The sequence below is a fragment of the Homo sapiens genome, chromosome 1, assembly GCF_000001405.40.
Source record: "Homo sapiens chromosome 1, GRCh38.p14 Primary Assembly".
In the NCBI taxonomy this organism is placed as follows: domain Eukaryota; kingdom Metazoa; phylum Chordata; class Mammalia; order Primates; family Hominidae; genus Homo; species Homo sapiens.
Window position 1 is genome coordinate 174,537,795 of NC_000001.11, and position 18,501 is coordinate 174,556,295.

Consider the following 18,501-nt stretch of genomic DNA (forward strand, 5'->3'; position numbering starts at 1 on the left):
AAGTTATAATTTTTTTCAACTCTAAAATCTTCCAGTGAAACTAACTTTTAAGGAAGATCTTCCATGAGTATCAAGTGGCTTCACATACCCTATGCAAGAGTATTGTTCAATAAGGGCTCACCCAGTTAGTTACTCTCTTCCTTAGTCCACCTTTTAAAAATGCTGCCAGATGAATCTCCTTGAAGCTTACATTGTTATGTAATTTCCTTATTTTCTTTAGAAACAAATTCAGAACTCCTTAGCTTACCTGGTAATGCTCTCTACAATCTGCCCTGAACCTCCCTTTCCAATCTTAGACCTCATTTCTCTCGTCATACGTGCTGTGGTACAACAATCTCTGAACCCTGCTTTGGGAAAACCATTTCTTTGCTTATGTTGGTACTTCCATTTCTCTTTGCTGTGAACATTTGAACTATTTCCAAAGTCCAGATCAAATGCCTAGTCCCTCTTAGGCTTTCTCCTGCTTTTCAACCTAGGAGTAGTAATTTTTCTCTTTTTTGGTTTCTTTGTAAATCTCTTCTAAATTTTATTAGTATTTAACCCTTCCCTTATAGTTCTTTACACATCTTTTTGTTCTCTGCCAGAATATAAACTACGTAAGAATAATCTTTTACATGTTTCCAAACCCAACATTGTCTACTCTGTATCCTGTATAGTTTGTGCCCTGTAAATGTCTACTGAATTGAACTTAAACTTTGAAGTATAACCCTATAGACATACCACTAATCTAGGGACGTTTGTATACTCTTTCAATGCTACCATGTACTCTTTGAACTGCATCTTGACATTTAATTTTTCTATGACTTAGTTTTTTTTAACCCACAAGGTGGTTATAATGATATTTCACTGTGCACTATAAAATTGTTATGTTATCTTTCAAAGAACTACTTTGAATTCCCTGGGAGACAAATGGTCAAATATATGAAACCCATTATAGAATTTCACCTCTGACATATGGCACAACTTAGAGATAATTTTGTTTAAATGCCAAGTAACCTGGAGCTATAAGTCCCGTAATACCACATAGGTATACATGTTTATGTATATGTAATCGTTCATGTTTATAACCTCATTTTGTAGTGTGATAGTAGGCTATGGTAAATTTGTCTTAAAATTTTTTAGGAGGCCAAAATTCTTACAGAAAAACATATTAGTGTAGTGTTGAGAGTCTAGGCACTAGAGATAGACTGCCTACGTTCATTAAAAAGTTAAATAAGTTGCCCGGGGTCACACAAAAGACTAAAGGGTGATTTGAACTTAAGTTTCCTCATTTATCATTCAGAATAATAAGAGCTCCTATTTACAGTATAGTTTTCAAGAATAAATTACCTAATACTGGCCCATAGTAAATACATATTTATTATTTTTATTATATTTTCATAGATAAATCATACATAGGCTTAGTTGGAGGTTAAACTTAGTGGTAAAGAACTTAGCATCAGGTAAACCGGGGTTTTATTTTTGATTTATTTTTTTCATTTCTTTTTTTTCTTTTTTTTATTATTTTCTTTATTATACGTTAAGTTCTAGGGTACATGTGCACAACATGCAGGTTTGTTACATATGTATACATGTGCCACGTGGGTGTGCTGTACCCATTAACTTGTCATTTACATTAGGTATATCTCCTAATGCTATCCCTTCCCTGTCCCCACACCCCACAACAGGCCCTGGTGTGTGATGTTCCCCACCCTGTGCCCAAGTGTTCTCATTGTTCAATTCCCACCTATGAGTGAGAACATGCGGTGTTTGGTTTAAAATCCTTGTGATAGTTTGCTCAGAATGATGGTTTCCAGCTTCATCCATGTACCCACAAAGGACATGAACTCATCCCTTTTTATGGCTGCATACTATTCCATGGTGTATATGTGCCACATTTTCTTAATCCAGTCTATCATTGATGGACATTTGGGTTGGTTCCAAGTCTGTGCTATTGTGAATAGTGCCACAATAAACATACGTATGCATGTGTCTTTATAACAGCATGATTTATAATCCTTCGGGTTTATACCCAGTAATGGGATGTCTGGGTCAAATGGTATTTCTAGTTCTAGATCATTGAGGAATCGCCACACTGTCTTCCACAAGGGTTGAACTAGTTTATAGTCCCACCAACAGTATAAAAGTTTTCCTATTTCTCCACATCCTCTCCAGCACCTATTGTTTCCTGACTTTTTAATGATCGCCATTCTAACTGGTATGAAATGGTATCTCATTGTGGTTTTGATTTGCATTTCTCTGATTGCCAGTGATGATAAGCATTTTTTCATGTGTCTTTTGGCTGCATAAATGTCTTCTTTTGAGAAGTGTCTGTTCATATCCTTTGCCCACTTTTTGATGGGGTAGTTTGATTTTTTCTTGTAAATTTGTTTAAGTTCTTTGTAGATTCTGGATATTAGCCCTTTGTCAGATGGGTAGATTGTAAAAATTTTCTCCCATTCTGTAGGTTGCCTGTTCACTCTGAGGGTAGTTCCTTTTGTTGTGCAGAAGCTCTTTAGTTTAATTAAATCCCATTTATCTATTTTGGCTTTTGTTGCCATTGTTTTTGGTGTTTTAGTCATGAAGTCCTTGCCCATGCCAATGTCCTAAATGGTATTGCTTAGGTTTTCCCCTAGGGTTTTTATGGTTTTAGGTCTAACATTTAAGTCTTTAATCCATGTTGAATTAATTTTTGTATAAGGTATACGGAAGGGATCCAGTTTCAGCTTTCTACGTATGGCTAGCCAGTTTTCCCAGCACCATTTATTAAATAGGGAATCCTTTCCCCATTTCTTGTTTTTGTCAGGTTTGTCAGAGATCAGATGGTTGTAGATGTGTGGTGTTATTTCTGAGGGCTCTGTTCTGTTCCATTGGTCTATATCTCTGTTTTGGTACCAGTACCATGCTGTTTTGGTTACTGTAGTCTTGTAGTATAGTTTGAAGTCAGGTAGCGTGATGCCTCCAGCTTTGTTCTTTTTGTTTAGGATTGTCTTGGCAATGTGGGTTCTTTTTTGGTTGCATATGAACTTTAAAGTAGTTTTTTCCAATTCTGTGAAGAAAGTCACTGGTAGCTTGATGGGGATGGCATTGAATCTATAAATTACCTTGGGCAATATGGACATTTTCAAAATATTGATTATTCCTATCCACGAGCATGGGATGTTCTTCCATTTGTTTGTGTCCTCTTTTATTTTATTGAGCAGTGGTTTGTAGTTCTCCTTGAAGAGGTCCTTCACATCCCTTGTAAGTTGGATTCCTAGGTATTTTATTGTCTTTGTAGCAATTGTGTATGGGAGTTCACTCATGATTTGGCTGTTTGTCTGTTATTGATGTAGAGGAATGCTTGTGATTTTTGCACATTGATTTTGTATTCTAGGACTTTGCTGAAGTTGCTTATCAGCTTAGGGAGATTTTGGGCTGAGATGATGGGGTTTTCTAAATATACAATCATGTCATCTGTAAACAGGGACAATTTGACTTCCCCTTTTCCTAATTGAATATCCTTTATTTCTTTCTCCTGCCTGACTGCCCTGGCCAGAACTTCCAACACTATGTTGAATAGGAGTGGTGAGAGAGGGCATCCCTGTCTTGTGCCAGTTTTCAAAGGGAGTGCTTCTGGTTTTGGCCCATTCAGTATGATATTGGCTGTGGGTTTGTCATAAATAGCTCTTATTATTTTGAGATATGTCCCATCAATACCTAGTTTATTAAGAGTTTTTAGGCCGGGTGCGGTGGCTCACCACCTGTAATCCCAGCACTTTTGGAGGCCAAGGCAGGCATATCACGAGGTCAGGAGATCGAGACCATCCTGGCTAACACAGTGAAACTCTGTATCTACTAAAAATACAAAAAATTAGCCAGGCAGGGTGGCGGGCACCTGTAGTCCCTGCTACTCTGGAGGCTGAGGCAGGAGAATGGCATGAACCCGGGAGGCGGAGCTTGTAGTGAGCCGAGATCATGCCACTGCACTCCAGCCTGGGTGACAGCACGAGACTCCGTCTCAAAAAAAAAAAAAGTTTTTAGCGTGAAGGGCTGTTGAATTTTGTCAAAGGCCTTTTCTGCATCTTTTGAGATAATCATCTGTTTTTTGTCTTTGGTTCTGTTTATATGATGGATTATGTTTATTGATTTGCGTATGTTGAACTAGCCTTGCATCCCAGGGATAAAGCCAACTTGATCGTGGTGGATAAGCTTTTTGATGTGCTGCTGGATTTGGTTTGCCAGTATTTTATTGAGGATCTTTGCATCAATGTTCATCAGGGATATTGGTCTAAAATTCTCTTTTTTTGTTGTGTCTCTGCCAGGCATTGGTATCAGGATGATGCTGGCCTCATAAAATGAGTTAGGGAGGATTCCCTCTTTTTCTGTTGATTGGAATAGTTTCAGAAGGAATGGTACCAGTTCCTCCTTGTACCTCTGGTAGAATTCAGCTGTGAATCCATCTGGTCCTGGACTTTTTTTGGTTGGTAAGCTATTGATTATTGCCTCAATTTCAGAGCCTTTTATTGGACTATTCAGGGATTCAACTTCTTCCTGGTTTAGTCTTCGGAGGGTGTATGTGTCGAGGAATTTATCCATTTCTTCTAGATTTTCTAGTTTATTTGCGTAAAAGTGTTTATAGTATTCTCTGATGGTAGTTTGTATTTCTGTGGGATCTGTGGTGATATCCCCTTTATCATTTTTTATTGCATCTATTTGATTCTTCTCTCTTTTTTTCTTTATTAGTCTTGCTAGTGGTCTACCAATTTTGTTGATCTTTTCAAAAAACCAGCTCCTGGATTCATTGATTTTTTGAAGGGTTTTTTGTGTCTCTATCTCCTTCATTTCTGCTCTGATCTTAGTTATTTCTTGCCTTCTGCTGGCTTTTGAATGTGTTTGCTCTTGCTTCTCTAGTTCTTTTAATTGTGATGTTAGGGTGTCAATTTTAGATCTTTCCTGTTTACTCTTGTGGGCATTTAGTGCTATAAATTTCCCTCTACACATTGCTTTAAATGTGTCCCAGAGATTCTGGTATGTTGTGTCTTTGTTCTCATTGGTTTCAAAGTACATCTTTATTTCTGCCTTCATTTCGTTATGTACCTGGTAGTCATTCAGGACAAGGTTGTTCAGTTTCCATGTAGTTGAGCAGCTTTGAGTGAGTTTCTTAATCCTGAGTTCTAGTTTGATTGCACTGTGGTCTGGGAGACAGTTTGTTATAATTTCTGTTCTTTAACATTTGCAGAGGAGTGCTTTGCTTCCAACTATGTGGTCAATTATGGAATAAGGGTGATGTGGTGCTGAGAAGAATGTATATTCTGTTGATTTGGGGTGGAGAGTTCTGTAGGTGTCTATTAGATCTGGTTGGTGCAGAGCTGAGTTCAATTCCTGGATATCCTTGTTAACTTTCTGTCTCATTGATCTGTCTAATGTTGACAGTGGGGTGTTAAAGTCTCCCATTATTATTGTGTGGGAGTCTAAGTCTCTTTGTAGGTCACTCAGGACTTGCTTTATGAATCTGGATGCTTCTGTATTGGGTGCATATATATTTAGGATAGTTAGTTCTTCTTGTTGAATTGATCCCTTCACCATTATGTAATGGCCTTCTTTGTCTCTTTTGATCTTTGTTGGTTTAAAGTCTGTTTTATCAGAGACTAGGATTGCAACCCCTGCTTTTTTTTGTTTTCCATTTGCTTGGCAGATCTTCCTTCATCTCTTTATTTTGAGCCTATGTGTTTCCCTGCCTGTGAGATGGGTTTCCTGAATACAGCACACTGATGGTTCTTGACTCTTTATCCAATTTAACAGTCTGTGTCTTTTAATTGAAACATTTAGCCCATTTACATTTATAGTTAATATGGTTATGTGTGAATTTGAGCCTGTCATTATGATGTTAGCTGGTTATTTTGCTCGTTAGTTGATGCAGTTTCTTCCTAGCCTCGATGGTCTTTACCATTTGGCATGTTTTTGCAGTGGCTGGTACCAGTTGTTCCTTTCCATGTTTAGTGCTTCCTTCAGGAGCTCTTGTAAGGCAGGCCTGGTGGTGACAAAATCTCTCAGCATTTGCTTGTCTGTAAAGGATTTTATTTCTCCTTCACTTATGAAGCTTAGTTTGGCTGAATATGAAATTCTGGGTTGAAAATTCTTTTCTTTAAGAATGTTGAATATTGTCCCCCACTGTCTTCTGGCTTGTAAACTTTCTGCCGAGAGATCCGCTGTTAGTCTGATAGGCTTCCCTTTGTGGGTAACTCGACCTTTCTCTCTGGCTGCCCTTAACATTTTTTCCTTTATTTCAACTTTGGTGAATCTGACAGTTATGTGTCTTGGAGTTGCTCTTCTCGAGGAGTATCTTTGTGGCGTTCTCTGTATTTCCTGAATTTGAATGTTGGCCTGCCTTGCTAGGTTGGGTAAGTTCTCCTGGGTAATATCCTGCAGAGTGTTTTCCAACTTGGTTCCATTCTCCTTGTCACTTTCAGGTACACCAGTCAGGTGTAGATTTGTTTTTTTCACATAGTCCCATATTTCTTGGAGGCTTTGTTCATTTCTTTTTACTCTTTTTTTCTCTAAACTTCTCTTCTTGCTTCATTTCATTCATTTGATCTTCAATCACTGATACCCTTTCTTCCACTTGATTTAATCAGCTGCTGAAGCTTGTGCGTGCATCATGTAGTTCTCTTGCCATGGTTTTCAGCTCCATCAGGTCATTTAAGGTCTTGTCTATGCTCTTTATTCTAGTTAGCCATTCGTCTAATCTTTCTTCATGGTTTTTAGCTTCTTTGCAATGGGTTCAAACATCGTCCTTTAGCTCGGATAAGTTCGTTATTACTGATCATCTGAAGTCTTCTTCTCTCAACTTGTCAAAGTCATTCTCTATCCAGCTTTGTTCTATTGCTGGCGAGGAGCTGCGATACTTTGGAGGAGAAGAGGCCCTCTGATTTTTAGAATTTTTAGCTTTTCTGCTCTGGTTTCTCCCCGTCTTTGTGGTTTTATCTACCTTTGGTCTTTGATGATGGTGACTTACAGATGGGGTTTTGGTGTGGATGTCCTTTCTGTTTGTTAGTTTTCCTTCTAACAGTCACGACCCTCTGTTGCAGGTCTGTTGGAGTTTGCTGGAGGTCCACTCCAGACCCTGTTTGCCTGGGTATCACCAGTGGAAGCTGCAGAACAGCAAATATTGCAGAATGGCAAATGTTGCTGCCTGATCCTTCCTCTGGAAGCTTCATCTCAGAAGGGCACCTGGCTGTATGAGGTGTCGGTTGGCCCCTCCTGGGAGGTGTCTCCCAATTAGACTACTCAGGTGTCAGGGACCCACTTGAGGAGGCAGTCTGTCCATTCTCAGGTCCCAAACTACATGCTGGGAGAACCACTACTCTCTTCAAAGCTGTCAGACAGGGACATTTAAGTCTGCAGAAGTTTCTGCTGCCGTTTGTTCAACTATGCCCTGCCCCCAGTACTGGAGTCCAGGAAGGCAGGCAGGCCTCCTTGAGCTTTGGTGGGCTCCACCCAGTTCAGTCTTCCCGGCTGCTTTGTTTACCTACTCAAGCTTCAGCAATGGCGGATGCCCCTCCCTCAGCCTTGCTGACACTTGCGGCTTGATCTCAGACTGCTGTGTTAGCAGTGAGTGAGGCTCCGTGGGTGTGGGACTCTCCGAGCCAGGTGCGGGATATAATCTCCTGGTGTTCCGTTTGCTAAGACCATTGGAAAAGCGCAGTATTAGGGTGGGAGGGTCCCGATTTTCCAGGTACTATCTGTCATGGCTTCCCTTGGCTAGGAAAGGGAATTCCCCAACCCCTTGCACTTCCCAGGTGAGCAATGCCCCACGCTGCTCCTTGGGCTGCACCCACTGTGTGACAAGCCCCAGTGAGATGAACCCGGTACCTCTGTTGGAAATGCAGAAATCACCTGTCTTCTGCGTCGCTCACGCTGGGAGCTGTAGACTGGAGCTGTTCCTTTTTGGCCATCTTGGAACCTCGGTTCAAACCTGAGTTGTAATACTCACTCTTCCTGTTGCTGCCTATGTAATTTTGTAGAAGTTACCTAATTGCTTCCAAGCTTCTGTTGGATTTTTTGAGAACTGAATGACATAGTACATTTTGAATGCTTAATGTATTGCTTTGTGCATGGTATTATTTAATAAATATTAGCTTTGGTTATACTTGCAATGTTCTGTTATTTCTCTTTTTCACACATGTTGCTTGCAATCTATATGGCATCTATTTTAGCATTAAAGTAGAAAGTTTTAAGTAGAAAGGTTCTGTCATAAAGAAAAAAAGAATCTTAAGAAGATAAATCTAAGTGGAAATTTAAAGAAAATAAGGCTTTTTTAGATCTAGCCTGTAAACTCCTTTAGACTCTTGAATTTGATATTCTGGTAGCTCTTCCGAGTATTAGGAAAAAAAGTCCTTTAAGCTGCTCTAAAGTTGGGTCTGGAAGCAATACTAGAAAAAGTAGAAACTGGAAAAATTTCACATCTTTAGATCAATGATGTCCAAAGTGAAGAGTATACTATAACCAAGTGGGTGAGAGAACATATTAGACCACCTACTTACATATATTTTATCTAAAAAATTTTAAAGTACAGGTTGATAGTAGTGTATGTAGGTAGCCTATTAGGTATAAATATATTGAGATAGTGACTCAGTTTTATTTTTAAAAAATAGACTATTAAACCACTGCTCTAGAGAATGGCTGTATTAAGCCAAAGTTTTAGTATAAACAAAGTTTAGATATTTGTTGTTCATATATTTTAGATAACACCCAGTTCTGTACATTTATCAGCTCTTTGCTTTCCTGTAATGTGCCATTTGTGATAAGGGGGAATAGGAACTTTTCTCTGAATCCTTTTCCATAGAAGGTGCTTTTAAAGATGCCTCTTTCAGTCCTTGCTAGGTAAGGGAATTAGAACCATTAGAATTGCTTTACAAAAATTGAGGAAAAGATTATTTGTTTAGCTATTTGTTTTTAGTAAATTGCATCCTTTGCATTAAGATAAAGCAGTTGGCCGGGCGCGGTGGCTCACGCCTGTAATCCCAGCACTTTGGGAGGCCAAGGCAGGCGGATCACGAGGTCAGGAGATCGAGACCATCCTGGCTAACACGGTGAAACCCCGTCTCTACTGAAAATACAAAAAATTAGCCGGGCGTGGTGGCGGGCACCTGTAATCCCAGCTACTTGGGAGGCTGAGGCAGGAGAATGGCGTGAACCCGGGAGGCGGAGCTTGCAGTGAGCAGAGATCGCGCCACTGCACTCCAGCCTGGGCGAAAGAGCGAGACTCTGTCTCAAAAAAAAAAAAAAAAAAAAAAAAAAAGATAAAGCAGTTAAATTAACACAAGGCCAATAGGGATTTTATTAAATTTCCTTTTTAAAACTGAGTTTTGACATAGAGATTTAAAATTAAACAGACCTGTATTCAAATCTTCATTCTTGATCTTGCTAGCTGTGATGTTTCTTTGTGTGTAAAAAGTTAGGGGTATAATTATAGTAGCCTTTTCCTGCTACCACCTGGCATTTAGCAGACCAGTTCTCAGTGAATGTGAGCGTTGATTATTTTTAAGGTGGTAGAGAGCTGATGAAAAGAGCAAGTAAGCCTGGGTGCAGTGACTCACACCTGTAATCCTGGTACTTTGGAAGGCCGAGGCAGGAGGATCACTTGAGCCTACGAGTTTGAGACCAGCCTAGGCAATGTAGCGAGACCTCATCTCTGCAAAAAAATAAAAAATTAGCTGGATGTGATAGTGTGTGCCTGTATGCCCAGGTACTTAGGTGGCTGAGGTGGGAAAATCACCTGAGCACAGGAAGTTGAGGAAGCAGTGAGCTGTGATTGTGCTACTGTACTTCATCCTAGGCAACAGAGTGAAACACTGTCTAAAAGAAAAGAAGAAAAGAAATATATCTTATACCATAGGGCTTAACTTTCTTTAAATGTGTGTAAATTGAAAGTAATTCTGTGTTCTTTTAGACATGGGGAATTTATCTGCAAAGTTTGGATATGGAGTCATTGTATTTGTATTTAAATTGACGTTAGATGCATCAGTTTATTACCTATTACATAGTATTTGAAAATAATCATATTTATTTTGTCTTTTAGCAACAGATGAAATTTAGTCTTACACCGAGACAGACTATTCACCTAGTTAAATATGAAGGGTCTATGAAGGTCTCCATGACACCCTGTAACCAGCTGCAATTTGACATTAGACTTGATGTTCTGATTACTTATACTTTTTGTTTTAGTTCCTTTCCTGAGCCTGAATTGTACAAATATGTCCTAAAACACCAACTTATTAAGAGGCTTAATGCCTGTTAAATGCGTCAGTGCTCTTGGCAGCTTAGCATGAGTGCTTTCTTTGCATGGGAGGTTGCAGTTTAGAAGCAACTTTATGGATCATTTCCCAGGTTGATGTTACATATGTTCATTTTACAACCTGTGTGCATAATCTCTCAGGGTGAAGGTAATTAAGAGAAAGCATAATCTACAGAATTGAAGCCAAGTAATCTAAGATTCTGTTTTTAAACTCTTTGCTATATAACATTAGTTAAGTTGTTTACCCTCTTAATTTATCCATTTGTAAAATGATAGTTTTTGTTTTTAAAGTGCTCTATTACCCTTACTTTAAAAGTCCTGTCTACCATATATTTAAAACTATAAGTGGAAATAATGAAGAAACTCTGAACTTGCTTTTGCTTATATATGGATATATCATATTATATGCCTAAGATTGGAGATAAATTTTATAACCTGATTTTCTCATGGCAGTGTACAAATGAAATTATTCTGTAAGTTTTTCAAAACAGTAAAATCACTATTTTTCATCTTTTTGTGAGATGTACTTTTTTCATACCCACAGAAATTTGCAGAGGGCTTCTGCATACCACCCATCTTCCAATATTTCAGTATTTGGCTAGGTTCCCCTCATTTTGCTTAATTATTCATTTTGGTTGGAAAGTTTAACTGCCACTGAAACTTCAGATTCTATATCCTTACCACTTTCCTGATTTTTAAGTTTAACATTCAGTAATTATTTGATGTTTATTTTAGCTGCATAGGTTTAAGTAACACTAAAAGTATACCTGAATCTCTAGGTAGCATATTTACAAGCTTAGTTAGAAGTACCAAAAAGGGCTTAGAAAATAATTTAAAACTACAATAGTGATCTAAAGTTTTTAATGATTTTTCAATTATGAAAATGTTTTACTATTGTGCTTATCCCATGAAGATTTAAAAATTTAGTGGCCGATACTTGAAATTGTATAGGTAGATAGGATACAGCATATGTTATTTTCAGTGTATCTAAAACCATGAACTTGGGTCCTGTGTGAGTGCAAAGTGGATACTGAAAACTAGTTTAATTTCCTCAGATTCATCTGATAGGTTATATCCTACTCAAAAATGACAGGAAAGCCAAAGGCTACTATGTTAGCCATTTCTGCTGACTCTTATTGGTATCCTGTACCCTATACTTCTTAAACAGATTACATTTTTTCAGTATACTAGTAGATCTCAAAAGGAGATAGAAGAAGCAGGGTTATTTCTCCAGGGTAGAGTATTGTTTTGACTATTTCAATTTTTTCTTAATGTAAATTATAGAAAGTAAACTCAACAAAATTTTCTTTCAGAGGATGGGAAAGTGGTGGCTGTAGGTACTTGAAAGATAACATAAGAAAGCATTAAAGGGGGAGACTGGATTTTAAACATTGGAATGCAATCCTATTTAGATATTGTAACATAGCATTCTTGTAAAGAGAAAAGCCACTGCAAGTCTCTACAAAGTTGGCCACCATTCCAGGCTAAATTTTAGAAGTATGTAGAGATGAAGTAAAAATCTGAGACTTTTAGTAATAGCTCTTGAGATCTCAAGAAATGGAACAAGCTGAAGAAGTAAAACTATTGAAAAGCCAAGCCAACTTGTTGCTGAATTCCCTAAACCAAGAATAATTTCAGAAGCTTAATTTTTTTCCTACAAATAGTATAGAAGAATTAACATTACCATTAAATAGGGGTTGAGCACTATACCAGTCTGAAACCCTTGAGATTAAAACTAGCTAGAAGACAAGCTGCAGAAGACAAGACAGTTTATAATCCCTTCCTTCAGCCTCACCCAAGGTTTTGGAAATAATCTTATGACAGCTGAGAGTAAGCCAGGTGCAGTGGCATTCCCTGTAGATCCAGCTACTTGGGGGGCTGAGGTGGGAGCATTGCTTGAGCCCATGAGTTGAAGGCTGCAGTGCACTGTGATCATACTGTAAATAGCTACTACACTTCAGCTTGGGCATCATAGTGAAACCCCATCTCTAACAATAATAATAACATTTTAAAATAAATTATTAAAATTTCACATTTAGAATTATTTTTCTACTACAGTAATTGGTACCTCAGTCACTTAAAATGGTAACACTAGTTGAGAATTATACCTCCACAAATATATATCTAGATAATCCATTATGTTGTCTCTAGCAGATTTTTCTGAGGAAAACCAAAAGGAGGATTGGTAATTAAAAGTAGTTAATTTTTACATTCAAGAAAGGAAAGGACTATTCTTTGAACAAAGTCCCAAGTCATGAATAAGTAATCACCAGTAATTAGAAATCACTTTTGATCAGTACACATGATGTGAAAATCAGCCAATCAGTGACAGCCTCACTCCAGTGGCCATGCTTCTGAAAATCATCGAGTCAACAACAGCCTTACTCCAGTAACTATCTTCTGCAAATTAGCAAATCAACGATAGTCCTAGGCTTCTGAAAGTCAGCCAGCGACTACTCTTGTATGTTCTGCATACTGACTCATTATTTGTCATTAAAAATTCAATGGACAAAAGAACAAAGTATGTCTGATGTGGCTGCTTTAGAGGCCAGGATCTAAATGGACCCAAGATTCCTAGTTAGCATCTGATAGAACTTTTAGATAGAAAGTCAGCAAGGATATAAAAGATCTGAGTAACACAACCAACCTACAGAATCTAACTGGCATTTATAAAACCCGCTACCAAGCTGGGCGCGGTGGCTCACACCTGTAATCCCAGCACTTTGGGAGGCCAAGGCAGGTGGATCACAAGGTCTGGAGATTGAAATCATCCTGGCTAACACGGTGAAACCCCGTCTCTGCTAAATATATATATATATATATATATATATATATATATATATACACACACACATATACACACACACACATATATATATACACATATATATACACACATATATATACACATATATATACATGTATATATACATATATATATATACACATATATATATATATATATATATACATACACACACACACATATATATATACACACAAAAAATTAGCCTGGCATGGTGGCACACGCATGTAGTCGCAGCTACTCGGGAGGCTGAGGGAGGAGAATTGCTTGAACCTGGGAGGCTGAGGTTGCAGTGAGCTGAGATCGCACCACTGCACTCCAGCCTGGGCGACAGAGCAAGACTCCATCTCAAAAAAACAAAAGAAACAAAACAAAAACCACTCTACCCAACAAGAGTAGAATATGAGTGGAACATCACCAAGGTAGATCCCATCCTGGGCCATTAAACAAGCCTCAACATATTTAAAAGAATTGAAATCATATAGAGTATGTTGTCTGACCACAGTAGATTCAAAGTAGAAATCAGTAACAGACAACAGGGGAAAAATGATCCATGGGTCAAAGAGGAAGTCTCAAAGGAAATTTAAAAATACATACAACTGAATGAAAATAATATATATCAAAATATGTGGGAGGTAGTTAAACCTCCCACATGTGTGCTGACAGGGAAGTGTACAGCAGTAAGTGCTCACTTTTGAAATGAGGAAGGTTCTCAGATCAATAGTGTAAGTTTCTTTCTCAAGGAACTACTAAGTTTCTATGTAAGAGACTAGAAAAAGAAGAGAAAATAAACCCGAAGTAAGCATAAATAAATAAATAATGAAGACAAAAACAGAAATCGAAGAAATTGAAAATACAAAAACAACAGAGAAAAACCATGAAACAAAAGCTATTTTTGGAAAAAAAAATTAATAAAATTGGTAAACCTTTGACAAGACTGAAAAATCTAAGAAGGGAAGGCCTGAATCACCAATATCAGAAATGGAATAGTGGATATCAGTACAGATCCTGCAGCCATTAAAAAGTTAACAAGAAAACACTATAAACAACTTGATACCCATAATTTAGAAGAAATGAATCTCAATTCTTTGAAAACCACAGACTACCAAAATTCAACCAAGGTGAAATAGACAATCTGAATAGCTATTTAACCATTGAAGAAATTAAAAGCTCCTGAAAAAGAAATCACCGTGTCAAGATATTTCTTCTTTTTTAAAAAAGATATTAATACATGTTTAACAACATTCATTTTATCCTTTCCATTTTGGCATGGCACATGATCTTCATCTGGATTTATATTTTATGTGATAAATGATTTTTTAATTTAAGTTCAAGGGTACAAGTGCAAGTTTGTTACGTAGGTAAACTTGTGTGGTGGGGGTTTTTGTATAGATTATTTCATCACCCAGGTATTAAGCCTAGTATTCATTAGTTGTCTTTCTTGATTATCTCCCTCCTTCCACCCTCCGCCTCCACCCTCCAAAAGGCCCCAGTATGTTGTTTCCCTCTATGTGTCCTTGTGCTCTCATCATTTAGCTCCCACTTATAAGTGAGAACATGTGGTATTTGGTTTTCTGTTCTTGTGTTAGTTTAGTAAGGATAATGGCCTCCTGCTCCATCCATGTCCCTGCAAAGGACATAATCTCATTCTTTTTTATGACTGTATAGTATTCCATGGTGTATATGTACACCATGGAAAGAATGAGATAAAAAAGAATGAGATCCTATACACCATGAAATACCAATACTCTTTATCCAGTCTATCACTGATGGGCATTTAGGTTCATTCCATGTGTTTGCTTTTGTGAATAGTGCTGCAGTGAACATATGCGTGCATGCGTCTTTATAACAGAATGATTTATATTCCTCCGGGTATATACTCAGTAATGGGTTTGCTGAGTCAAATGGTATTTCTGTCTTTAGGTCTTTGAGGATTCACCACACTATCTTCTACAATGGTGGAACTAATTTACACTCCCATCAACAGTGTATAAGCGTTCGTTTGTCTCCATAACCTCACCAGCATCTGTTATTTTTTGACTTTTTAATAACAGCCATTCTGACTGGTGTGAGATGGTATCTCATTGTGGTTTCAATTTGCATATCTCTAATGTAATGATCAGTGATGTTTAGCTTTTTTCCATATTATTTTTGGCCACATATATGTCTTCTTCTGGGAAGTAACTGTTCATGTTCTTTGCCCACTTTTTAATGAGGTTGTTTTTTTCTTATAAATTTGTTTAAGTTCTTTATAGATGCTGGATATTAGACGTTTGTCAGATGCATAGTTTGCACAAATTTTCTCCCATTCTATAGGTTGTCTATTTAATCTGCTGATAGTTTGTTTTGCCGGGCAGAAGCTCTTTAGTTTAATTAGATCCCATTTGTTGATTTTTGCTTTTCTTGCAATTGTTTTTGGCATCTTTGTCATGAAATATTTACCTGTGCCTACACCGCAAATGGTATTGCCTAGGTTATCTTCCAGGGTTTTTGCAGTTTTACGTTTTGCATTTAAGTCTTTAATCCATCTTGAGTTGATTTTTGTATGTGGTATAAGGAAGGCATCCAGTATCAATCTTGTGCATATGGCTAGCCAGTTATCCCAGCCAAGATATTTCACTAGTGAATTTTACCACACATTTTAGGAGAAATTAACTTCAAGTTCACAAAATCTCTTCCAGAAAAGAGAAGAGGAGGGAACACTTCCTGACTGATTTTATGAAGCTAATGTTATTACTCTAAAACAGACAGATTGTACAGAAAAATAAAACTATAGACCATTATTTCTCACAAATGTACATGTAAACATTTTCAGTAAGAATCATAATGCAGAAATCCTCAACAAGAATCATAGAATTAGGGTCAGGCGCAGTGGCTGATGCCTGTAATTCCAACACTTAGGAAGGCAGAGGCAGGCAGATTTCTTGAGCCCAGGAGTTTGAAACCAGCCTGGGCAATATGGCGAAATCCCATCTCTGCAAAAATTAGCTGGACGTGGTGGCACACACCTGTAGTCCCAGCTCCTTGGCAGGGCTGAGGTGATAGAATTTGGGCCGGGGAGGTCGAATCTGCAGTGAGCTGAGATCATGCCACTTGCACTGCAGCCAGGGTGACAGAGTGAGACCTTGTCTCAAAAAAATAAAGAAGCATAGAATTAGAAGGAATTACAATCAATATTCCTCCTCTTCAAGATTAATAAAGATTGCAACTTTAATGGCAACCTCAATTCTGTGCTGTTTTAGTTACTCCTCCTATAGTCTGAAAATGAATTGATTTAAGGCAAATTCAGTAGGTTTTTACAGTTTCATTTGTCATCAGTGTTTTTCAAATATAAGTACTTTTGCAAATTGGACCAAATTCTTGGTGCAATTTAAAAACTTGGGCCTTCTATCATTTGCCTATTTTGAGAAAGGCTATTTCCCTTTTCTTTGATTTTCTATTTTTTAGAGTGTTGAACCTACTTAATCTGAAGTTTACCTCCCTTTTAAAGGAAGTGTCTAGAAGTGTTTCTGGCAATGTGTTCATAATTAGGTTAAATTTTCCTCTTGATAACCTGGTGGCTGTAGAACTGAAATCACTGTGAGTTAAAATAATCTTAGTGTGTCTGTGTCCCCTTGGCATTTGTAAATGAGTTCCTTGAAATTTTGTATTGGTATGTTTTAAAACATCAGTACTTTTATTTCAAAGTAAAATATGCCATAATATGTTTTATAGGATGAAGTGTTTGTTTTTTATTTATACACTATAATTACGTGTTGTATCACCTTCTTTGAAAAGACATATTTTAAAATAATATCTCAATTTTAGGCAAAGCACATTCCTAGAAGTTTAAAATTAACATTTTCTGTCTAAATTAAGGAGTTAATTTTCTGTGAAAATAAAATGTTTGTGGGGGGTGAGTCTTATCACATATCACAGATCATACTTGTTTTAAAGGAAGAAAATGAAAGTCATTTTTAAATTTAGTTGGTGACATAAGCAGAAAGCATGTTTACTTTTTGATACTTAATAACACTTGAGGTAATAATAAACAATGATAATTTCCTAATCTTTTTTGCATTGTTGTAATTAAGCTTACACTTGGAGTTTCCAAGGCCAACATGTAAGGAATTGCTCTTTAATTAGGTTTCCAACAGTTAGAATAAGCAAAAGGATGGCTCATCTGACATTGCAGTGTGTCCTGATAGAGTTCCCTTAGTTATGGTTAATGCAGATAAAGAAAACAGCAAGCATACTTTCACAATTTTATATTTTCTGTATAAATGAGAATTCTTATTTTTAGAGAAGTATATTGAAAAGTAATAACACAAATTAAATAAATGGAATAGACTATAAATTTAGGGCCATTTAAAAAGGATTACATGTATGCCAAGGTACAAATTATCTTTCATACTCAATTTCAGCTGTTACTCATCACTGCTTAACCTACTCTTGAGTAATAACAACATTCTTTAAGCTTTAAAACATTCTCTAATGTGTTTTTAATATAGACAGAATACCCATCATTAGCTTTATGGCAAAAGCCCTTGCAATCATTTATTTCCCTTAATCACGTAAGCATCAAAAATTTATTGATCACCTGGTCTAATTATATGTAGTGTTGTAAGTATGTCTCAGGATTCATTCAACAAACATTTGTCGAGCATTTATTATGTAACAAGAAAAATGTATGTCCCCCCCCCAAAAAAAATGTATGTTCCCTTTCTTTAATGTTTACTGTGAATAGTGAAGATATAGATATACATAGAAAGACTAATAATTCATGGAAGGAAATTATCAGTGTTGACTCTCAATTTGGGGAAGAGTTTTGAAGAGAAAAAAGATCACTTTTGGTTTGCAGTGGATATTGATAGTCTCAAAGGTGATGGAATCTCTGTGTAAAGATGATTTTGATAAAGGAAGGATTTAGGGACTACATTATGGTAGAGAACCGAGAGTGAAATTATAGGAATGGGAAAGAATATGTCTCCTATTCTTTTTCAGGAGAAGTGACTATGTCAGTTTGTTTGGAGTGCAAAGTTCATCACAGTAGATGAATGAATGGTTAGAAAAGAAAGGTATTAGGGACTGGATATTGTAGGACTATGTTTGGATCATATAGTGGGAATGAAATATAAAAGCTGAGTTCGTTTGCCTTTTTTTTTTTTTTTTTTTTTTAAGATGGAATCTTGCTCTGTCACCAAGGCTAGAGTGCAGTGGCGCGATCTTGGCTCACTGCAACCTTCACCTCCTAGGTTCAAGCGATTCTCCTGCCTCAGCCTCCTGAGTAGCTGGGATTAAAGGTGCCCGCCACTGTGCCCGGCTAATTTTTGTATTTTTAGTAGAAATGGGGTTTCACCATCTTGGCCAGGTTGTTCTCGAACTCCTGACCTCATGATCTGCCCACTTTGGCTCCACAAAGTGCTGGGATTACAGGCGTGAGCCACCACTCCTGGCC

At 37.4% G+C, this 18,501-nt stretch overlaps 1 protein-coding gene across 12 annotated transcripts in view; it reads left to right on the forward strand.

Annotated features, from left to right (window-relative positions):
* Window positions 1-18,501, forward strand: part of RABGAP1L (RAB GTPase activating protein 1 like) — an 835,789-nt gene that overhangs the window by 378,275 nt on the left and 439,013 nt on the right. Inside the window, exon 14 of one of the 12 annotated variants that reach the window (NM_001366445.1) lies at window positions 10,043-10,767. The exons of 10 other annotated variants lie outside the window; for them this stretch is intronic. In NM_001366445.1, the coding sequence (NP_001353374.1) occupies window positions 10,043-10,261 (219 nt within the window). In that variant the 3' untranslated portion in view covers window positions 10,262-10,767. Of the gene's footprint in view, window positions 1-7,049; window positions 8,111-10,042; window positions 10,768-18,501 lie in introns of those variants that run through there. One more of the 12 variants, NM_001366449.1, reaches the window with a different exon arrangement.